At 48.7% G+C, this 23,271-nt stretch overlaps 7 annotated features.

The window, feature by feature from the left end:
* Positions 2,158–2,428: a transcriptional cis regulatory region, noted in NCBI's record as "candidate enhancer chr14.550 targeted for multiplex CRISPR interference". NCBI's record gives its function as "positively regulates NFKBIA gene expression with high confidence in K562 cells {active_cell/tissue: K562}" and the evidence as "EXISTENCE:mutant phenotype evidence [ECO:0000015][PMID:30612741]".
* Positions 3,072–3,660: an enhancer, noted in NCBI's record as "H3K27ac-H3K4me1 hESC enhancer chr14:35837711-35838299 (GRCh37/hg19 assembly coordinates)". NCBI's record gives its function as "activates a minimal SCP1, AML or CMV promoter by ChIP-STARR-seq in primed H9 embryonic stem cells {active_cell/tissue: H9 hESC(primed)}" and the evidence as "EXISTENCE:reporter gene assay evidence [ECO:0000049][PMID:30033119]".
* Positions 3,661–4,248: an enhancer, noted in NCBI's record as "H3K4me1 hESC enhancer chr14:35837123-35837710 (GRCh37/hg19 assembly coordinates)". NCBI's record gives its function as "activates a minimal SCP1, AML or CMV promoter by ChIP-STARR-seq in naive H9 embryonic stem cells {active_cell/tissue: H9 hESC(naive)}" and the evidence as "EXISTENCE:reporter gene assay evidence [ECO:0000049][PMID:30033119]".
* Positions 4,249–4,838: an enhancer, noted in NCBI's record as "H3K27ac-H3K4me1 hESC enhancer chr14:35836533-35837122 (GRCh37/hg19 assembly coordinates)". NCBI's record gives its function as "activates a minimal SCP1, AML or CMV promoter by ChIP-STARR-seq in primed H9 embryonic stem cells {active_cell/tissue: H9 hESC(primed)}" and the evidence as "EXISTENCE:reporter gene assay evidence [ECO:0000049][PMID:30033119]".
* Positions 4,493–4,542: a silencer, noted in NCBI's record as "silent region_5674". NCBI's record gives its function as "represses an Ori minimal core promoter by ATAC-STARR-seq in GM12878 lymphoblastoid cells {active_cell/tissue: GM12878}" and the evidence as "EXISTENCE:reporter gene assay evidence [ECO:0000049][PMID:35858748]".
* Positions 11,178–11,287: an enhancer, noted in NCBI's record as "active region_8275". NCBI's record gives its function as "activates an Ori minimal core promoter by ATAC-STARR-seq in GM12878 lymphoblastoid cells {active_cell/tissue: GM12878}" and the evidence as "EXISTENCE:reporter gene assay evidence [ECO:0000049][PMID:35858748]".
* Positions 15,850–15,949: an enhancer, noted in NCBI's record as "active region_8274". NCBI's record gives its function as "activates an Ori minimal core promoter by ATAC-STARR-seq in GM12878 lymphoblastoid cells {active_cell/tissue: GM12878}" and the evidence as "EXISTENCE:reporter gene assay evidence [ECO:0000049][PMID:35858748]".

Here is a 23,271-nt window from a genome sequence, read left to right as displayed (position 1 = left end):
CCTGCCAACTGTGGGACCTTGAGCACATCTCCTAACCTTTCTGTGCCTCAATTTGCTTACCTTTCAATTGAAGGATTTTGTAGTTCCTACCTGTGGTATGGAAAGAAGTAACCCAAACACTTGACCCATGATAAGCTCTCAATAATGTGACCATTAATATTAGTTATTGGGGCCGGGTGTGGTGGCTCACACCTGTTATCCTAGCACTTTGGGAGGCTGAGGCGGGTGGATCACTTGAGGTTAGGAGTTTGAGACCAGCCTGGCCAACATGGTGAAACCCCGTCTCAACTAAAAATACAAAAATTAGCCAGGTGTGGTGCTGCATGCCTGTAATCCCAGCTACTTGGGAGGCTGAGGCACAAGAATTGCTTGAACCCGGGAGGCAGAGGTTGCAGTGAACTGAGATCGTGCCACTGCACTCCAGCCTGGGTGATACAGCTAGACTCCATCTCAAAAAAAAAAAATTAGTTATTGGGCAGTGGGGAGACTATGAAGATCTTTTATCTGCCCCATTTTAGAAAATAATCCCAGTTGGTCCCACTAATCGGAGTCAACACCCCCCACCCCCATCCCCCAAACCACCTGGGCTGCAGAAGGCCTTGTCTCAGCCGGATAGCCTAGAGATGCGGCATCTAGATCTTCTTCAGTCCAGTCCTTGGATTTCCATGGCTTCTGCCCTAGAATGACTGTCCATCCACATTCAGCACACACTTTTCAAGTTAGGCATGAATGGGGAGGTGGAAAGTTGCTCAGGAAGCTGTGTGCTGTGCAGGAAGAAAGAACACTGGCATCACATAGTCAGTGTGGATTGATATCTATATTTCTACCCTACTTTGGAAGATCCCAAGAGATGGAATCTCAGAAAAGGGAACGGTCACCACTCCCATAGGAGTGCCCTCCTATGGGAGGGCTTTGTAACTAACTGTCCAACAGGTTCTTCTTGCCTGCTGCCCAGATAGAGCCAATTTATCAAGACAGGGGAACTGCAATAGAGAAAGAGTTTAATATACCAAGAGCTGACTAAATAAGAGACCACAATTTTATTATTACTAAATCAGCCTCTCTGAAAATTCGGAGGCTAGGGTTTTTCAAGTATAGCTTGGTGGGCAGGGGACGAGGGAGTCAGTATCGCTGAATGGCTGGGGATGCGATCATAGTGGTGTGGAAAATGGTCCTCTTGCACTGAGTCCATTTCTGGGTGTGGGGCACACAAAAGTTGGGTCAAGAGGCCTGGTCTTCAGAAATGCAAACGGCTGAAAAGCCATCTCAGAAGGCCAGTCTCAGGTTCTACAATAGCGATGTATGTGATATAAGAAAGTAATTGGAGAAGTTACAAATCTTGTGACTTCTGGAATAATGGCTGGTAATCATTGAACTATGTGTACATCTTAGCAGAGCTCAAGCCCCTCTCATCGTCCTAACCTGGTGGCCTTTCATTCATTTTACAAAAGTGGTTTAATTTTGTAGAAGAGCTATTATCATTTAAACTATAAACTAAATTTCTCCCAGCGTTAGCTTGGCTCACACCTAAGAATGACCAGGGGCACTTTGGAGGTTAAAGGCAGGATGGAGTTGGTTAAGTCAGATCCCTTTCACTGTCATCATTTCCTCATCCTCACTGTTAAATTTTTTGCAAAGGCAGTGTCAGCTTCAGGAGGAGGTGGCATTTACTTTTCTTAATATGCCAAGGATTCTGAAAAACCAGTTTTCAACTAAGCCTCTTTGGTCTGAGACTCCAGGCTTTTGGCAAAGAGTTTAGAAAAGCTGCTCAGAGAACGCTGAGTGCCAAGAGAGCAGGGTTAGAGGGAAGGGCGCTGCACCAAGCTGGGATTCCTGGGTTCTGGTCCGGCTCTGCAACTCATGAGCAAGCTCCAACTCCCAGGCCCCTTCCTGGTCTGTGAAATTCAGGTGATTAGAGAACTGGTCAGAAGCTCCCCAACCTCTCCTCTAGCTTGCAAAGTCTAGCTTCCTTTGCGTTGCAGTCCCCGCCCCAACCCGGGCTGTACATCTGGACACCTGGAGGACACAACAGGATTCATCTGACTCATATTACGGTAACAGGATGCGTTTCTTGCTGCTCTCTAGACCTGGAAAAAAACATGAGTGCCAAGCGTGGACCAGTCTGAGACCGTTTCCTGTTTCTCCGAAAGCTGACTGGCTGTCAGCATCCCGGGGCGGTGTGTGCCAGAAAAGGCAGCATCTCCTAGTGAGCCCCGACCTCCGGCCGCCCCTTTTCCTTCTAGGACTGGGTGTGGCCCCTGGGTCCGCTTATTGGCGTCTGGCCCAGGAGCTGAGAAGTGTCATCCCTGCCCTACCAGGAGCTGAGAAGTGTCATCCCTGCCCTACCACGGGTGGAGCTGGTGCGGAAGGAGGGGCCTCCCCGCAGCCCGGCCGCACCTGCAGGGCCCTGTATGCCCAGGTGCCCCCGCACCCGGCTTGGTACAGCGGTGGTCTCAGTCGGATCCATGATGGACATATGATCCCCGGTGCCTCCGGAGGCCCCACCTGGGGAGGAGTGTGCTTGGCACATCCATAGGTCTGAAACGGGAGTTTGCGGCGGGGCCTGCTCCCAGAATGTATTCATTCACACTGCCAGACTCCAGGCCCATCAGTTCCTTCAAATCCACTGAGCTGGGATCTTGCAGGCCCCGAGACCCCAGCATGGAGGGTGGCGTTCATGGAGGCCTTTTTGACGGGATCAGGTGGGGTGAGGAGAGGGTCTGAGATACTTTTTGTGCACATCGCCGGTGTGACGGGCAGGAAGGAGTCCGCTGTCACACGCATGCCGTGGGTATTTGGAGAGAGTTTAATAAAGGAACCGTTTACAAAGGCCAGGGCCCAGCGTGGGGCAGCCACGAGGGTTAGTGCTGGAACCCGGGCGCGCGACAGCTGCCCGGACCCTGCCTGAACCCAGAAGCGACCCAGTGAGAGAAGGAAAGAGGAGCAGCAGCGCGAGCGCAGTGCAGCCCTCAGGTGACCCCGCAACGCCAGTGAAGAGCCCACAGGGAGTCCAGGAAATAAACCCGGACCTCGGCTCACCCTCCGCCGCCCATCTCTGCAGCGTTTTCCCCGGGGCTGAGCCCAACCAGGATCCCACGGGCCAGAGCCGCAGCGCCGCTGTCCCCAAGACGTGGCCAGAGGGACAAATGTCTGGCACAGCTAGCTGATGTTTAAGTGGTTTTCTTTTGTCTTTGCAATTTAGAGATAACCGTATGAAAAATAGCTGTATTCCGATATCTCAAGAGTTAAAAAATCTCACCCCAGCCGCCCTGCCCCTCGCTGGGTTTGCGGGCTTCTTTCTGGCAGAGTCTGGGAGGGCGTCCCCAGGCATTTGCTCTCCTGCCCCCGCGGTCACCCAGGAGGCCTGGGCAGCCCAGCCCCTCTGTCCAGGAAAGCCCCTGGAGTGGGTGCAAGCTCTGAATCACACGTTCCACCCTGACACCCCTTAGAAATTTAAGCTGCCTGTCATTGATCCTTCTCCGGGCCACTTTTGTACACAGTTCCAGCTGAAGAAAGGCACCAGTATCTGCACATTGCTTAAAAATGAGACTATTCACCTCTCTGGGGTGAGGGGAGAAACAAAAGAAAAAGAAATGAGAATAAACGCACTTCGCATCCCAACATCATAAAATATTACAAAGAGTTTTGCTTTTGCAAAATCAAATAAACTACCCACAACTGTACCTACCAAGTAAAAGTGCACCTTTGTTTGTAAGCAGAGGAATGAGGAAAACAGACTGGGGACACTTGGACTCATTTCCAGAGCATAGCTTTAGGGACCAGCCTCAGGGTGGTTGTAAAGATCACATTCAGAACAATGAGCTCTTCCTAGATGTCAAGTCACTATGCGGGACTGCACCTCCAACCCCAAGGCTACCCACTAACCCCAAACCTTGCCCTCTAAAGCTCAGCTGGGAGTGCAATGGGTTAAAATAAGTCAACCCAATGGAGTGCAGGGGCCCGGGGAGCTCCTCAGCCATGTGGAGTCCTGGTTTGCCCCCATGCCAGGCTGCTACAGGCAGGGCCCATTCATCCAAATGAACCCCTGAGCTGCTGGGGCAAGAGGGTGAAAGGAGAAGATGTCCCTCCCAGTTGGTTCCCAGGTTTGAGGGAGAAGCACAGATCCTGCCTCCATCCAGCCCAGAAGAGAAGAAGGGTCCTCCTGGGGAAGAGGTGGCCTGACCCCCATGCAGGGCTGGGAGGAGGCGGGTGAGGGGGCTGTTGTGAAGCTGCAAGTTCCCTTTGCATACCGAAAGCTTCTAGTTGCAGCCGGATGTAGGGGAAAGTGCCGGGGGAGATAAGGGGCCCCATGAGCAGAGCACCCCACCATGGGAAGATAAAAATAGAAATACAGTTCTCCCCACCCCCACCCCAGCCAAAGAAAGTGTGAAAAGCCACTCTGGAATGCCACAGAAGCAGCCATGCAAATTAAACTCATTAAATGAAATAGTACAAGTACAGGGCCTAGCACTAGCTTGCCACATGGTAGGTGCACAGTGAATGTTGCTCCCCTTACACACACACACACACACACACACACACACACACACACACACAGCTGTGTCTGGCCCTACCACAAGCTGAAATGCACATTTACTTGATATATTCATCCGGCTCCTCTTTGAGAGGCATGACCTCGGCTGCCCAAACTTGCAGGCCTCCCCGTAACTGGCCACAGCAATCCCAGCACAGAGCCCCTGGTGTGGAAGGGGCATGACAGGGCAGCCTCAGCCTCAGGTGTCAGCCCTGGTGGGCTGGGTTCCAGGCAAACATTCTGAGGCAAAGTCTCCACGAGGGTGAAGGTTCTCCCAGAGCTGGCCCTTCTGACTCCAGGCACAGGGCCTGGGGCGCCTCGTCACTTCTCCCTCCTTTCTGCCAACCAACCTCCCCCGGCTCCACATTTGCAGACAGGTAGCCAGGCCCCTCCACCTCAGGCTCCCTGCAGGGTGGCCCTGGGATGTCAGGTCTGGGGTGGGCAAGGGGAGGCTGGAAGACAGTCTCCCAGTGACTCAAGCTAGGCTGACCCCTCACTACAGAGGAGTCAACCCCTCCATTTGGATGTGGAGCTTCGGTCTCCTCCACCACACACTTGCACGAAGGGTTGGGAGACTGGGTATGGGGAAGGAAAGGGATAACGCTGAGGGCTGAGCCCTGGGGGGTAGTGCCAACCTGGATTTTGCAACAGAGCAGGCTGAGAGCGAGGACCATGTACAGAGAACCCACTGTGTGCCGGCTCTATGCCAGGCCTTTGCATAGTTTCATTTCATCTTCACCACAAGTTGGTCAGGTAGGTGTTCAAGACCCATTTTATAGATGAAGAGACTGAAGCCCCGTGTTCAAGACCCATTTTACAGATGAAGAGACTGATGCCCACAGAGTTGAATTTAGTTGCCAGAGTCACACAGCTATCTGAGAGGGGTGGCCTCTGGCTCCATTGGAGGTGCTGTGTTTTCTGACTGAGGGTTGGGGCTGGTGTGGATCTGGGTAAAAGGCTGCGGATGGACTTCTGGCTGCAGCCCAAGGAACCATGTGGGGCAAGGCTGGCTCGGTGAGCATGCAGCGCTGTCACAGAGGGGTCGGGACTGTGGGCACCCTGCTGGCCAGTGGAGGGCTGTGGAAGAGGTTTGCACAGGCCTCGCTGTCCCCGAGGTCACCAGGCCTTCTCCCCTGGAGTAAGTGGGGGTCCCCAAGCCTTAGACTCCAGCGTGGGTGATGACTTCTTTCTGCCTTCCCAGTTGATGCCCTTGGAAAAGCCCCTGACTCCATCATGGGCCACAGAGTGCTGTGTAATTTCCTCTGTGGGTCAGCCCTCCACTGAAGGCTGTGACGGGGACATGACTCAGGCCTTGGCCTGCCACCGACAAGCCACCAGCTGCATGGATCCCAGCTGACTCGGTGGACACAGAAGCGGCGCCTGCTGGTTTCTGCCATTTATGCTTCATCCTACACTAGGAGAGGTGCGCCCGCCGAGGGGATGGGCCAGGCAGATTGTGGGTCACACTGGACCCACAGCATGTCAGGAACTGGGACCAGTTCTCGGTCATCGCTGGGGAGAACCGTGACTGAGACAGACCCTCCGCCAGGTCTGGAGCAAGTCAGCCAGGATCCTCCAGGCTCAAGAATCTCAGTGGCACCAGCAAGCTATTGGAGCTGGGCCTGCTCTCCCCATCTACTCCCAAGTAAGAACATTTTCCATCTTCCCACAGGAAGTGACCCACAAGTGAATTTGCTCTTTTTGGAGAAAGGTGCTTTGCTTAGATAATTAAAAAAAAAAAGAAACCAAACCCATTCAGTGGTTACTTCAAGCTGCCTTCCAGGAATTCACCATGGATATACAGGGCCTTGAAAGGCCTCAGCTGACAGCAGGTCTTTGGAAAACAAGAAAGGTCATCTTTGGATCCCTTGTTCTGAGCTGACAGTGGCCTCCCCCTCAGGGTGGGGAAGCACAGGCCAGGGCACCAGTCATACTTCTGGGCAATTCGAAGTCATGTGTTCTGTGTCACCAAGGCCGTGACTCACCCCTGTGCTTGCCGAAGCTCATTCACAAAGGGGTGAAACTGCTCTACAAGCACTTTTCTGAGTGAGGCTGCCCACCTCCCAGAGGGGAAAACGGGCCCCACGGGAGGTGGGCCTGGCCCTCCCGGGTTCAAGCCGTCCAGGCAGGGGCCCCTCAGGGCCAGGACCAGGAGAGTTCAGTTCTGTGTCCCCACCCCTTAGGACTTCAATAAATTCTGTTAGATGAATGAACCAACAGCAGAAGAAATGAAGTGAAGCTGGCACAAAACCCTAAAGCTCCTCCTTTCGATGTAGACGTTCCCTGTGTTCTTGCTCCTCGGGGAAGAGGAGAGATGCTTGTGTGACCCATGGGAGGGAGGCTGGACCTCCTCAGAGTGAGCCAACAGCGGCTGAGGGCACAGAAGTCACATGCCCAGGGCCGGCTCTCCCTCCACATCCCTCTAAGAAGGTGGGAGCTGTCCTGGAATCCTTTGAGGGGGTAGGGCCACTCAGTGTCCGGGCTATTTCTGGAATTACAAACAGCTCATGTTGGTTGAGATCCTCAAAGGAGTTTCATTTATTTATTTATTTTTTTATTTATTGAGACAGAGTCTCACTATGTTGCCCAGGATGGTCTCGAACTCTTGGCTTCAAGTGATCCTCCCACCTCAGCCTCCCAAAGTGCTGGGATTACAGGCATGAGCCACTATGCCTGGCTCAAAATAGTTTTTTATTTCTTTTTAATCTTTATTCATTTATTTTTTGAGACAGAGTCTTGCTCTGTCATCCAGGCTGGAGTGCAGTGGTGCGATCTTGGCTCATTGCAACCTCTGCCTCCAGAGTTCAAACGACTCTTGTGCCTCAGCCTTCTGAGTAGCTAGGACTATGGTGGTGCGCCATCATACCTGGCTTTTTTTTTTTTTTTTTTTCTGGAGACAGAATCTGTAGCTGGGATTTTAGGCATCTGTCTCCACACCCAGCTAATTTTTGTATTTTTAGTAGAGACAGGGTTTCACCATGTTGGCCAGGATGGTCTCAAACTCCTGGCCTCAAGTGATCTGCCCACCTCGGCCTCCCAAAGTGCTAGGATAACAGGTGTGAGCCACCACACCCAGCCAAAAGAGTTTTTTTTTTTTTAAATTATTGTTATTATTATTGTGCTCCTTAAAACAACAAAGGCCAGGTGACAGATGCTAAGAGCCCAGTCTAGACTGGTGCAGTCAGGCCGGGAGGAGTGAGCAGCCACTTGTGGGCCTCGGTCAGGCTGTCCTGACAGAGAGGACAGAGTAGGTGGCTATCCATGCTGCAGGTTCCGCCACCCTACAGCATCTCCTCCCTGCCTGGGAATCCCATGTTTAGTTGCTCCTGTAGGTTGGACAGCCATGATTGGGGCAGCTGCCACCCAGAGATTGTGGGGACAGTTCTGGGCTTGCCTAAGGGCTCTGGAGTCTGGAATCTGGACCACATAGTACAGCAAGAGAAACAGCACACAGCTCATCCTTGAGCGTATCTAATATATCAAAATGATTCCAGAATTAATGAGACCTCCTGGGTACCTAGTACCTAAAGGCTTAACTGGGATAGCACTCCACCCCACCCCCCATCCCACCTGCCCCACCTCTCGCAAGACATATTCAGTCCTCCATAGAGACACCTCCCTTAATGCTAAGGAGTTCACTCAGCTCAGACTTCTGGAGTGGGGAAACGGAGGCTTTCTCCATCCAGACTCATCATCCTGGAATTCTTTATTTCTCTCTCCTGATTGCGGTTTTTTTTTCTATATTCCCTATTTTTTCACTTTTTCTTTTTCACAGTCTTTTTTTTCTTGAAATATTTCTCCTTTTCTTTCTTTGTCTTCTCCTTAGTAAATCAAATTGCCTAATTGTCAACCTGGCAGGTGGGGACTGGAACCCAGGGAGGATGTGGCACCGGACAGAGGCTTCCAATGGAGGCAACAGCTTGGTCCACCCACATGGCGGCAGATCCACGCATCTCCCTGGACCTTCCGTGTCTGAGCGTCCATCTGGGAGCCTCCACCAAGGGGCATGAGAGAACAGAAGCGGAGGAAGACCCTGAGAGTTGGCTTCCTAAGAGAGAAAAGGGTAACGAGAATGACATAAGAGTTTTGTTAGGCTGATCACACTAATGGCCAAAACACTGAAGCTGAGTGGGTCAGCGATGCAGCAGGCATTAGTGCCAGCTGGAGAATACAAGTTTGCCCTGCACTTAGGGCCGCACCATCCATGTGGCAGGATTTCTCACTCCTGGGGCCTTCCACAGACGTGCATTTTACCATATTCTCTAACCATAAACAAACGAAAACTCTCGTGGCATACAGCTTTCAAAGACCATTGTCTCGAAAAGGAAATTGGGACTGCATTTTCCCACAAGTTCAAGGAGTTTTGATTACTCAGAACGCCCTCTCGACATTCTTGTGAACATTTGAGAAATTCCCACTGCCTCCTGTTGCCCTCAGTGCAGGAAGCCAGGGATATGCACACTCAGACAAGCGCTTCTGGGCTCACAGCAACTGCACAAACCATTGCATAACTGCAAGCAGGGTGCGTGTGTGTGTGTGCAAGTGTGTGTGTGCGTGCGTGCACGTGTGTGCATGCATGTCTGCGTTGTGTCCATATGCGTGTGCGTGTGTGTGCATGTGTCCGTGTGCGTGCATGTGTACATGCGTGCGTGCCTGTGCGTGTGTGCGCGTGTGTGTGCGCGCGCGCGTGTGTGTGTGTTACTTTGCTTGATAATGAAAGGAAATGCAAATAAAGAAATACTGGCTTCTGGTAAATTTATGCCTAAAAGATTACTTCATTCCAAATCTTTCTGGACTACACACCTCCTCAAAATTCCTCCCCAATTTTTTTTCCAGGAGCTTATTTCCCAGAGTGGTGTTCCAGGATTGCTGCAGGACATGTGACAATGGAATTACTTCTATGAGAGCCCGATTTTGGGGCTCAAAGTTGTCCTCAAGCCCAGAGATGGATGCAGGGACTCTCCAAGGTAGAAGGGCCTTCTGGCTACCAGCCACCCATGCAAAGTGAAACTCCAGGCACGAAAAAGACATGGGGAGTCTTGGCAAATACTGAAGCCACTGCTGGAAAAGAAGGAAGGCCCCATGTGAGCCTGCCCTCACCATTCCATGGAGACAGATGAGCCCGTGGGAAGCTGAATGTGCTAGGGGAGATCTTTGTGCCCTGCTAACCAGTGGCCTGCCAGAAGCCCAAAAAGTGCCAGGAGGGAGCAGCGACAGGAAAGCAGAGAATTCTGGAAAATAAGGTTTCCCAGCATCATCTGCCTGGGTGAATGTCGTTGGCAGGTAGACATCTGTCTCAATTTCTAAAGAATGATCTGATTTTCTAAAAAAGGAGAAAGAAGGGAAGGAGGGAAGAAGGAAGGAAGGGAAAAAAAGGGAAAAGTAAAGAAAAAATAAAAGAACTCCGGGCGCAGTGGCTCACGCCTGTAATCCTAGAACTTTGGGAGGCTGAGGTGGGCAGATCACCTGAGGTCAGGAATTTGAGACCAGCCTGACCAACATGGTGAAACCCCATCTCTACTAAAAATACAAAAAAAATTAGCTGGCTGTGGTGGCGCGTGCCTGTAATCCCAGCTACTCGGGAGGCTGAGGCAGGAGACTCGCTTGAACCCGGGAGGCGGAGGTTGCGGTGAGCCGAGATTGCACCATTGCACTCCAGCCTGGGTGACAAGAGCAAAACTGCATCTCAAAAGAAAAAAAAAAGAAAGAAAAAATAAAAGAAAAGGAGATATAAAAGTTCTAGATCTGTGCTGTTCACTGCCCACATAATGCTAGTGAGCACCGAAATGTGGATGGTCTGAAACGGGATTCACTGTAAATGTAAAATAGACACTGGGTTTCAAAGGCTCAGTGAGGAAAAGGGACTGTAAAATAAGTAACAGTCATTGTCATCAATTACATGTTGAAATAATCTTTTAATTATTTTTTATTAAACAAAATAGATTAGAATTCATTTCACCTGTTTTTATTTTTCATTTTTTGAGAGGGAGTCTCACTCTCACCCAGGCTGGAGTGCAGTAGCATGATCTGGGCTCACTGCAACCTCTGCCTCCTGGGTTCAGGTGATTCTACTGCCTCAGCCTCCCCAGTAGCTGAGATTACAGGCGCCTGCCACCACACCTGGCTAATTTTTGTATTTTACTAGAGACTGGGTTTTACCATGTTGGTCAGGCTGGTCTCGAACTCCTGACCTCAGGTGATCCACCCATCTCAGACTCCCAAAGTGCTGGGATTATAGGCGTGAGCCACTGTGCCTGGCCCGTTTCACCTATTTTTAAAATGTGGCCACTAGAACGCTGCCAGCTCCATCTGCACCTGCCCTCTATTTACAAGGCAGGGCCGTCTCAGGTGGTAACTTTGGGATGACAGCCCTGGTCCCAGCCCCGCTTCAACTTCCCACCAAATCATGAAGGTCTCTTGCTCAGCCCCTTTCCCGGAACGGGGCTGGAAGTAAACTAGCCCAGGTGTGTGGGTATCTAGACTTTTGGGTTCTCCAGATAAAATCCAAGCATCTCCCTGAAAAACCCTTTTGTTTTTTTTTTTAAAATAGAGATGAGGTCTCCCTATGTTGCCCAGGCTGGTCTTAAATTCCTGGCCTCAAGTGATTCACCTGGCTCAGCCTCGCAAAGTGCTGGGATTACAGGTGTGAGCCATCATGCCTGGCCCTGTTTTGCTGTTTAAGCAGCTATTTTCTGAGTGCTGCTTGACCTTTTAAAATCCTGCACTTCATATAAAGGTACAAAGGGGCTTTCTTGCACTCACTTGAGGTAGTCATATGGGTGGCTATGTGATAGAAAGGGAAACTTTGAATAGGATGTATGAGTTGTGGGAGGGTTTTCGTTAGGCATCAATGGAGACTGAGTCCTGGATAGACACTGTTCAAGTTTGAATCCAGGTTCACTGGTCCTTAGGAGACTTTTTAAAGTGGTGCTACAGAACATCACAGCAACAGTCACAGAACAGTTTTTCTTTTTCTTTTTCTTTTTCTTTTTTTTTTTTTTTTTTTGAGACAGGGTCTCGCTCAGTTGTCCAGGCTGGAATGCAGTGAGGTGATCTCAGCTCACTGCAACTTCTGCCCCCAAGGCTCATGCGTTCCTCACATGTCAGCCTCCTGAGTAGCTGGAACTGAGAACATTTTTTCCATCAGGTGTTTAGCCTCACAGACCTGTGTGTGTGTGTGTGTGTGTGTGTGTGTGTGTGTGTGTGTATTCACACACAAACACATTGTATTAGTCCATTCCCACATTGCTATAAAGAACTACCTGAGGCTGGGCATGGTGGCTCACACCTGTAATCCCAGCACTTTGGGAGGCCAAGGCGAGCAGATCACCTGAGGACAGGAGTTCGAGACCAGCCTGGCCAACATGGTGAAACCCGTCTCTACTAAAAATACAAAAGTTAGCCGGGCATGGTGGCAGATGCCTGTAATCCCAGCTACTCGGGAGGCTGAGGCAGGAGACTCACTTGAACCTGGGAGGTGGAGGTTGCAGTGAGCCAAGATCGCACCACAGCACTCCAGCCTGGGCAACAGAGTGAATGCGACTCCATCTAAAAAAAAGAAGAAGAAGAACTACCTGAGACTGGGTAATTTATGAAGAAAAGAGGTTTAATTAACTCTCAGGCTTAACAAGAAGCATGACTGGGAGGCCTCAGGAAACTTACAATCATGGTGGAAGGTGAAGGGGAATCAAGCACCTTCTTCACATGGTGGCAGGAGAAAGAGAGAGAGAGAAGGGGGAAGCGCCACGCACTTTCAAACCGTCAGATTTCAGATAGAACTCACTATCACGAGAACAGCAAGGGGGAAATCCACCCCCATGATCCAATCACCTCCCACCAGGCTCCTCTGTGACACGTGGGGATTACAATTCAACATGAGATTTGGGTGGGGAGACAGAGCCAAACCAGATCACACGTATATTTATATATTTAATACGTTAAAATATAGTACTCAGTATATTATATTAAATACAATATAAAATTATATGTAATATATAAAACTGTATTATATTTAATGTAATATTATATATATGTGTGTGTATATATATTCTGAAAATGCCAGGACATTGTTTTGAGCATTTCTGAACTTAGCGTGAATTTCTGTTTATAAATTGTTCTGCACAGAAGATATGTCTCTTACTCTATTGCTGTGCCCCTTTGACATACCGCATCAATGTCTTTATTTGTTGAGCAATTTTTCTTACCTTCTGGCACTACAAGATACCCCAGGCTCATCTTGTGTATTTTCTGCTCCAGTCCTTGAATCAGCCAGTTCTCAAAGGAGACTGGTGCCTTTGGAGAATGGTATTGCTAACCCAAGATCTGGGTGCTAGATGTGCTTATTTCTACTAGGGTGCCATTTCTCAGCCTTTTGGGTGATGGAGTAAAGAAATACATACGCATTTACTAACATTTGTATACACATAACTATACATATTTCAATATGTAGCCATTTTTGTCCATATACATGTATATTTTTGAGACAGGGTCTCACTCTGTCACCCAGACTGGAGTGCAGTGGCACAATCTTGGCTCACTGCAGCCTCAACCTATTGGAGTCAAGCGATCCTCCCACCTCAGCCTCCTGAGTAGCTGTGTCCAGTGCCACCAAACCTGGCTAGTTTTTATATTTTCAGTACAGACAGGGTTTCACCATGTTGCCCAAGCTGGTCTCGGACTCCTGGGCTCAAGCGATCTGCCCACCTCGGCCTCCCAAAGTGATAGGATTTCAGGTGAGAGCCACCTTGCCCAGCCTCATTTTTGTCTATATTAAGCTAAATATGAGTTCTTACCAATGCCTCCAAGTCTAATTCATTATCACATGGACACTTCTAGCCTCCTTCTGTTGCTTATCTTTCTTACTCCAACTCTGCATGTATTTCTAAATCCTTATTCCAGGGAGGGCTACACACCTATTGAAGAACTTTCTTTCCAGAAGTATTTTGTTTGTGATGAGGAAAAAAAAAACATAGTGCTTAATTTCTATCAATGGAAAGAGAAAATGTCATCAAATTTTACAAACGACTAGAAATGTCCTTAAGGTTGTCATTGGAATCTGTTATTAATGGAACACAGCAGTCTATATGGGTCACTAAAGCACACGAGTTATGTGCTTTTGGTCCACGGCCTGGCTGACTTTGCTCCCAGCATCTCTTTCCTGGTGCTGGGTGGTAGAGGCTCTGGACCAGAACCTACAGGAGGGGCCTGAACACATTTGTCCACCCTCCAAAGTCACATGCACCTCAGTGTCTTCCTAGAACTGTGTCTTGGAGACGATGGTCTCCACCTGCTGTGGTCAGTGATGCCGACCACCTCATTTGCTGATGCCGACAGCATCAGCAACGCCCAACGTGAATTCACATCAGTGTGATGATGTCCCACAGAAGAGCCCAGTACTGACTGGAGAGTGGTTCCTCTGTGTCTTCCCAGCCTAGCTTCCTACCCTCCAGGAGGATGTGCATCTCCTCCTAATGCTGACATGGACAACGAGCATTTCCCTCTCTTCTCAGGCTCGTGCTCATGTAAGCATTGGCCTTACCAGTGTGGGATTCTTCATCCAAGCCGACACAGCCTATTTGTGACAGCTTATGTTTAATTACACAAGTCATAATAATTGAAACACTTATTTCAAGCATTTTGCTTCTATCAATTTACTTAATCTTCACAACAAGCCTATATTAGCTCTATTTTTGTAGAAAAAGAGTAAGGCACATTGAGGTTTATTTATTTTTTTTCTTTACTTCTTACACACCTAGTAACTAATGAAGCTAGGGTCGACACGGAACACCATGACCGTGCATAGTGCCGCTAAGTAATGCATGAATGCACATTCATTGTTTAAAAACAAAGATAGACTGGGCACAGCGGCTCACGCCTGTAATCCCAACACTTTGGGAGGCTGAGGCAGGTGGATCCCTTGAGCCTAGGAGTTCGAGACCAGCCTGGGCAACATAGTGAGACTTCATCTCTACAAAAAATAAAAATAGCCAGGCATAGTGGTGTGCGCCTGTACTTCCAGCTACTCGGGGGCTGAGGTGGGAGGATCACTTGAGCCCAGGAGGTTGAGGCTGCAGTGAGCCATGATCATGCCACTACACTCCAGCCTGGGTGACAGAGCTCAGATCTTGTCTCAAAGAAATGAAAAATAAATAAATAAGATAAAATTAAAAATCCAACACAGAAATATATGGAGTAAAATTTATAATCCCCCTTTATCACCTCCTTCCAATTCTCCTTTCCCCTTCGAGGTAACTACTCTTCATTGTGTGTGTATCTCCTTCCAGACCTGTTTTTTCTTCTTACATTGTTTCATGGATTTATTTTTTTAGAAATAGAGAGATGGGGTCTTGCTATATTGCCCTACCTGGTCTAGAACTCCTGGTCTCAAGCAATCCTCCCACCTCAGCCTCCCAAAATGTTGGAATTACAAGCATGAGCCACTGCACCCAGACTCCATACCTGTTTCTATGAATGATATAGACTTAGCATTTGGGAGAGACTTTAAATACATATAATATATATACATATATATATAATTATACTAATGTGTCATATTTTGATTTGTTAATTTCACTTGTCAATGTGTCTTAGAGATCTTCCATGTCACTGTATATAAATCTACCTCAGTCTCTTAAGGGTTCCACAGTGTGGATACACTGTAAGTTATTTATCCAGTCTCTAATTGATAGCTAAGTTGTTTCCAGCATTTTACTAGATAATCAACACCTTGGCGAACATCCTTGCATATGCCTTGTGTGACAACATCAGAGGGTGGATTCCCAGAAATAGAATTTTTGAATCAGAGTGAATCCACATTTGACATGTTATTACTGACTAATTGTTCTCCAAAAAGTTTGGGCTGATTTTCACTCCTCTATGACATGTGGGGAGCTTGAGAATGCCTGTTTTCCCACACCCTCACTAACACTGAATAGTAGCAATTCTTAACATTTTTGCTAATCTGATAAGTGGAAAATGGGATCTCCTTGTTTGAACGTGAATTGGTTCTTTCTGAATTTGTGATTTTAGTTTCCTCATTACTCATACGTTACTGGGCTTTGAATTTCTTTTTCAGTCTTGTGCTATCATTTGCATCTTTCTTCATAATAATCTAAAATGATCTTTAAAACTCTTTGTTGATTTCACCTTTGAGCTTAGGTGGATTTTGTTGAGAAATAGGAGTTTCCATTTCCGGAGCAGTGTGGGTCTATCTGGAGTCATTGTCATGATCTCTGTGGTACCTGGCAGGGTGACAACAACACAGCCAGTGACAAGAGGGCTGATTCTCTGCCTCTCCCTACAGACACCTCCTTCTTGGTCCCTCCCAGCCCCACCTGGAGCCTCCCAAGTGCTCCTTCCTTAAGGATAAACTGTTCTAGAATACGTCAGTCTTTGAAAACTTGTGGACTTTTGTCACAGCCTCTAGGGTGGCTATGACTCAGCCCCTGATATCTGAGGCTGTCCACATGGAAAGTGTCAATTACCCTCACAAACCTGCCCCCAGCCCTGGTTCTGGACCTGCAGAAGGGCTTGCTGTGCCTTCCTCCCACTATGTGTCTGCTACTGCTTATTCCTGTCCCTTTTGTGCCACCAGAAAGATAGAACAGCCACAGATGCTAACCCATTCAAATAGCACCACATCACTCCGTGAGAATAGAGAGATACAGATTTTAGAGACTGGGTCTTGCTCTGTCACCCACGCTGGAGTGCCAGTGGTGTGATCTTGGTTCCTTGCAGCCTCCAACTCCTGGGCTCAAATGATCCTCCCACCTCAGCCTCTCAAGTAGCTAGGACTACAGGCATGTACCACCATGCTGGGCCATTTTTTTTTTTTTTGAGACAGGGTCTCGCTCTGTCGCCCAGGCTGGAGTGCAGTGGCACAATCTTGGCTCACTGCAACCTCTGCCTCCCGGGTTCAAGCGATTCTTGTGTCTCAGTCTCCCGAGTAGCTGGGACTACAGGTGCGCACACCACACCCGGCTTATTTTTGTATTTTTTGCAGATGGGGTTTCACCATGTTGGCCAGGCTGTTCTCAAACTCCTGACCTCAAGTGATTTGCCCATCTTGGCCTCCCAAAGTGCTGAGATTACAGGCGTGAGCCACCGCGCCCAGCCTGTTATTTTTTTTAGAGACAGGATCTCATTCTGTTGCCAGGCTAGTCTGGAACTCCTAGGCTCAAGCACTCCTCCTGCCTTAGCCTCCCAGAGTGCTTCAGATTACAGTCATGAGCCACCACACCCAGCCTAGGTATAGATTTTTAAACCTCTGAGATCTTTTAGAAATGCTTGTGCATGCCGGGCGCAGTGGCTCACATCTGCAATCCCAGCACTTTAGGAGGCCAAGGCAGGTGGATCACTTGAAGTCAGGAGTTCGAGACTAGCCTGGCCAAAATGGTGAAACCCATCTCTACCAAAAACATAAAAACTTAGCCGGGTGTGGTGGCATGCGCCTATAATCCCAACTACTCAGGAGGCTGAGGCAGGAAAATTGCTTGAACCTGGGAGGCAGAGGTTGCAGCGAGCCAAGATTGTGCCACTGCACTTCAGCCTGGGCAACAGAGAGAGACTTTGTCTAAAAAAAAAAAAAAGTTCGTGCATAAACATGTATGTATTTTTATATAGATTCTTTTTTAAAAATGCAAATGGAAAACAACTATACATAGTATTCTATGCCTCACTTTAAAAAAACAGTAATGTTTCTCAGAGATCTGTCCATTTCAGCCTATGCGATCTATTTCATTTGAAATGGCCACATATATTCCACTAATGTGTCATGACAGTTGGCCCTCCGTACCTGCTGGTTCTGCATCCAAGGATTCAATCAACTGCAGGATAGAAAATATTCTTTAGGCCAGGCGCGGTGGCTCACGCCTGTAATCCCAGCACTTTGGGAGGCAGAGGTGGGCTAATCACCTGAGGTCAGGGGCTTGAGACCAGCCTGGCCAACATGGTGAAATCCCATCTCTACTGAAAATACAAAAAAACTAGCCTGGCACAGTAGTGAGTGCCTGTAGTCCCAGCTACTCGGGAGGCTGAGGCAGAAGAATCACTTGAACCCAGGAGGCGGAGCTTGCAGTGAGCCAAGATCATACCACTGCACTCCAGCCTGGGTGACAGAGCGAGACTCCGTCTCAAACAAAACAAAACAAAACTCAAATTCTTTTGAGACCAGCCTAGGCAACACAGCAAGACCCTGTCTCAAAACACACACACAGACACACACACACACACACACACACACAAATAACAATACAACAACAAATAATACAAATTAAAACAATAATACAATAAACAAGTATCTACATAGCATTTACATCTTATTAATCTAAAGGTGATTTAAAGTGTGGGGGAGGTTGTGAATAGTTTATATGCAAATATTACACCATTTTATATCAGAGACTTGAGCATCATGGATGTTGGTGTCTACAGGGCTAGGGGTCAGGGGTTTCCAGGAACCAGTCCCCCAAGAATAGAGGGATGACTGTACTTACTTATTATCCAGTCCCCTATTAATGGACATTTGAGTTGTTTCTCTTTTTTTGCCATTACAAACAATGTGACTTGAACAAACATCCTTGTGGACATGTGGGATGTACCTGCAGGGTAGAACTGGAATGGCAGGGTCAAAGGAAATGTGTACTTTAATTTGGAAAGATATTGCCAAATGGCTCTCCAAAGAGGCTGTGCCAACTCATACTCCCGTCAACAGCCATCAACAGAAGCTGCTTCCCTGCCCTCTCACCAGCATCAGACTTGATTAAATGGTAAGCCTTTGCCTTTATGATCAGTGAAAAATGGTATCTCACTGTGGTTTTAATTTGCATTTCTAAATTATGGTTGAGAAATGTGTATCGAGTGTTAAGAAATTATTTGTATTTTTATCTTTTTAGAGACAGGGTCTCGCTATGCTGGCCAGGCTGTTCTCAAATTCCTGGGCTCAGGCGATCTTCCTGCCTCAGCCTCCGGAGTTGCTGGGACCACAGACGTGGTCCATGTGCGTTCACTTCTGAAGATACAGGACTCTCTCTGCAGCCTGCAGTGATACAGAGCTCCGTCTGCCTGGACACACCACACGGCCATTTCTCACCTAGACTTTTGCCATTCACCAGGCTCCTCCCAGGAAACTGAGACAGGGCCCCATTCTCATGACACCCCTGCTCTGCTCTCCTCCCAAGCTCAGGGCCACTCTCTAGTTGCAGAGAAAACGCTAGAGTTTTCTCTGGGAAACCTCACAATTTCTTATCAAGCAGCTTACCAAATATGTTTCTGCATCTTTTACACCCGTCTAAGGAGTCAGGATTCAGAAACCCAGAGTTCCAGAAGACTTTGTTTCTTTCTATCCTTTTCTTTTCTGTCTACTCTCATATCTCTTCCTTAAGGCAGGGAATGGCCAGAAGAGCAAGCACATGTACGTGTGTGTGTCTTTGTGTCTGTGTGTGAGGGCATGTGTGAGTGTGTGTGAGTGCATGTATGTGTGAGCATGTCTGAGAGTGTATGTGAGTGTGTGTATGAGTGCATGTGTGTGTATGTGTGTGCACGTGTGTGTGTATGTGTGAGTGTATGAGTGTGCGCATATGTGTCAGTGTGTGTGTGTCAGTGTGTGTGTATGTGTGAGAGTGTGTGTGTCTGTATATGTGGTTCCTGGGGAGGGGAGAGGCCAAAGCTGGAAGGATGTCAGGGAGGAGAGCCCAGCCAGGCATCAGGGCCTGGGGCTGCAGTCCTGGGGCCGTAGAGGGCTGTGCACTTGCTGTGCTGCTTCCCTGGAAGGTATTGCCGGGGTGCTGGCCGGCCCTGCTCTCCTCCTTGGCATCTGATGGTGAGCCTGCACATCTGGGCCCTCGGTCAGGTGCGTAGCATGCAGGCGCCCACGGGTTTAACAGCCAGGCTATGCTTGTCCTTGGTGCTCTCCACAAAGGCCTGGAAGGGAGGGGCCTCAAAGTGTCCCTCAAAAGGCCTCTGAGGCTTCTGCTTCCTCCCAAAGACTTTCGTGAGTTCACTCTCAAGGAACCAGTGAGAGGAAAGGGTTTTCTCCAGAGAGCGCTCTTCTCTGTGGATGAGGCCTCCCCAGCCCAGTGCATTGCCCCCCAGCCTCCATTCCTGCTTTTCTGGGTTTCTTTGGGCCAGGAGGCTGGAGAGTGTAAAATGTCCCCACCGGCACCAGTGGCCTCAGACCCCTGTGTGCACAGGAAGGAAGCTGTAGGGGAGGCACTCGGCATTAGGTTACAGACACAGCTGAATTCCTTCCTCACAGTGTGTTTGTCCCATGAGGAAGGAACCGCACTCCCTGGTTCCTCCTTTGCACTGCCTCCCACAGAATCAAAGCTCCATCTCCAAGTCTTTTACTCCTTGGGACTAGTTTCCTTCTGTGAGGTCCCATATTTCCTGGAATGGCGATTGCAGTGGATCCAGCCACCTGCACGTGGAGGTGCAGGTGCCCTTTTCTCTTTCCTGAGCAGGGCCAGCTCTCAGGACAGCTTGCCTCTTTATCTCCAGCCACTTCTAATTGTCCCCTCCAGCAACCCCCATGAGCTCACTCTGCAGCCTGACCTAGTTGTGTTGGCCCCATCCTTGCCTCTGTGCTGATTACTCCCAGGACCTTGCTGCCTTCAGTCCTTACTCCTCTAAGAACTTTTCAGTTCTTAGTTCTTCCTCTAACTATTCAGTAAATCTTCTCTTCACGGTGGCATCTCGGAGCTCCACCAGCAGGCTTGTCTTAGGGGCCTCTGGCCAAACACATCTCTGAAGTATATGCATTCGTGAAGCTTTGGAGTCAGGAGGCAGATCCAGTCCCATTTCTGGCACTGACTGGCTGGTCCCTTGGCTTCTCTGAGCCTCTTTCTTCAGTAAAATGATGAAGAAAACAGTATCAACTTTGTAGGGTGGCGAGCTCCATGGGCATCGTGATCATATTTATATGTGCTGGCCAGGCACAGTGGCATGAGCCTGTAATCCCAACACTTCAGGAGGCTGAGGCAGGAGGATCACTTGAGCCCAGGAGTTTGAGATTAGTCTGGACAACAAAGTGAGACCCTCATGCCTATAAAAAATAAAAACAATAATAAAATTATCTGGGTGTGGTGGCACATACTTGTAGTCCTAGCTAGTTGAGAGACTGAGGCAGGAGGATTGCTTGAGCCTCAGAGTTTGAGTCTGCAGTGAGCTATGATCGCACCACTGAACTCCAGCCTGGATGACAGAGCAAGATTTTTTTCTCTCTCCAGAAAAAAAGCATATGTGTGGCCAGGCGCGATGGCTCACGCCTGTAATCCCAGCACTTTGGGAGGCCGAGGCGGATGGATCACCTGAGGTCGGGAGTTCGAGACCAGCCTGACCAACATGGAGAAACCCCATCTCTACTAAAATTACAAAATTAGCCGGGCATGGTGGCACATGCCTGTAATCCCAGCTACTCAGGAGGCTGAGGCAGGAGAATCTCTTGAACCCAAGAGTTGGAGGTTGCAGTGAGCTGAGATCGCGCCATTGCACTCCAGCCTGGGCAACGAGAGTGAAGCTCCGTCTCAAAAAACATAAAAATAAAAAATAAAGCATATGGGCTATTAATTATTGTTAGTATTACATGAAAAGCATTATTCATTGTCATTGATCCTGCCTCATCTAGCATAAATCTTGAGTCTAATATTTCTTGAGGAGATGGGGGTTTTCTCTACAAGTTTCTCCCTTTATTTATTTTTATTTTTAATTTTTTTCTGAGACAAAGTCTTGCTCTGTCGCCTAGGCTGGTGTGCAGTGGCTTGATCTCAGCTCACTGCAACCTCCGTCTCCCGGGTTGAAGCGATTCTCCCGCCTCAGCCTCCCGAGTAGATGGGATTACAGGCGCCCGCCACCACGCCCAACTAATTTTTTTCTTTTTTTTCTTTTTTTTTTGTATTTTTAGTAGAGACGGGGTTTCACCATGTTGGCCAGGATGGTCTTGAACTCCTGACCTCATGATCTGCCTGACTCGGCCTCCCAAAGTGCTAGGATTACAGGCATGAGCCACCACGCCCAGCCCATTTTCTCTCTCTTTTTAATGTAATTCTTCTTTTTCTGTCTCTTACCAGAAGGAATGTAATTCTTTTTTTAATTAGAAGGTGAGGATGATGGTTGCATTGTTGGAGAGGAAAACAGAATAATGTGGGGAAGGAAAGATAAATAGGCTATCAGCAACCTCGACTCCCAGGGTAGGTGCCAGCAAATTCAGCTCTGAAGGAATAAAGCTTGGAAACCTAGTGCTGGACTCCTCGTCTCTATGGACAAGAGACCAGCCCTGCCCCTGCAGATGCCCTGTGGGTGCTCCCAGGAGCCTCTGACCGCACCCAAGGATACACGGGCAATTGGTGTCCTCTTCACTTGTCTGTGTTGCTCTGGTTTGTCACACCTGGAAAACAGGCCAATAGCCCAGGAGGCAGGGCCCCAAGGAAACACGTGCTGGGCCGCCTGCAGAGCCAGAAATGAAGGGTCAGGGAGTCTCCTGAGAGGAGACAGCAAGTCCGGCAGCAGAGGGTCAGGAAAGCCTGAGGGCCCAAGGCCCTGAAGTCATGGGCTGGGGGTCTACCTTGCAGGGAGGCTGAGTGGAGGAAACTCAAGGAGAGCGGGCCGTGAGCCTGGAGAGGAAGCAGGAGGTTAGAAGTAAACCACATTGACTGTGGGGCTATCAGCATAGCAAAACATTGCAAATGCCCTCACTTTCCATCAATGTGGAAAAGGCTAAATACATACGAGTATCCACACGATGAGGAGGCTGAACAGAAAGATGAGAATTTGTATTATGTATTGATGTGAAACGATATCCAAGTTAAATAAAATAATTTTCTTGTTGGTAGGGTTGCTTCGAATTTTCTTTTTTTTTGAGACAAGGTCTCCCTTTGTCACCAAAGCTGCAGTGCAGTGGCATGTTCATGGCTCACTGCAGCCTTGACCTCCTGGGCTCAAGCTATCCTCCCATCTTAGCCTCCCAAGTAGCTGGAACTACACCTGGCTAATTTTTTAATTTTTTATAGAGACGAGCTCTCCTTATGTTGCCCAGGCAGGTCTTGAACTCCTGGGCTCAAGTGATCCTTCTGCCTCAGCCTCCCAAAGTGCTGGGATTACAGGCAGCAGGCACTAGGCCTGGCCCCCATCCCCCCAATATTTTTTTAAATAATAATTTGCATGTTTTTTAAAGGAAGAATATTTACGTATTTGCTTGAATGTGCATAAAATGCCTTTGGAAGGATTCACAAAAACCCATTTCAGAGAGTGTTTATTTAATGGGTAGACTCAACTGGGGAAGATGAGAAAGTTCTGGACATGGATGTTGGCGATGGTTGCACACAATGCGAATAGACTTAATGCCCCTGGACTGTACACTTAAAAATGGCTAAAATGGGCTGGGCGCAGTGGCTCACGCCTGTAATCCCAGCACTTTGGGAGGCCGAGGAGGGTGGATCACCTGAGGTCAGGATTTAGAGACCAGCCTGACCAACAAGGTGGAACCCCCCTCTCTACTAAAAATACAAAAAATTAGCCAGGCATGGTGGCAGGCGCCTGTAGTCCCAGCTACTTGGGAGGCTGAGACAGAACTTGAACCTGGGAGGCGGAAGGTGCAGTGAGCCGACATCATGCCACTGCACCCCAGCCTGTGCGACAGAGACTCCATCTCAAAAAAAAAAAAAAAAAAAAGCCGGTGCAGTGGCTCAAGCCTGTAGACCCAGAACTTTGGGAGGCCAAAGCAGGCAGATCACCTGAGGTCGGGAGTT

This window comes from Homo sapiens, chromosome 14, assembly GCF_000001405.40.
Source record: "Homo sapiens chromosome 14, GRCh38.p14 Primary Assembly".
Classification (NCBI taxonomy): Eukaryota; Metazoa; Chordata; class Mammalia; order Primates; family Hominidae; genus Homo; species Homo sapiens.
This window is presented reverse-complemented; position numbering and strand designations above follow the sequence as displayed.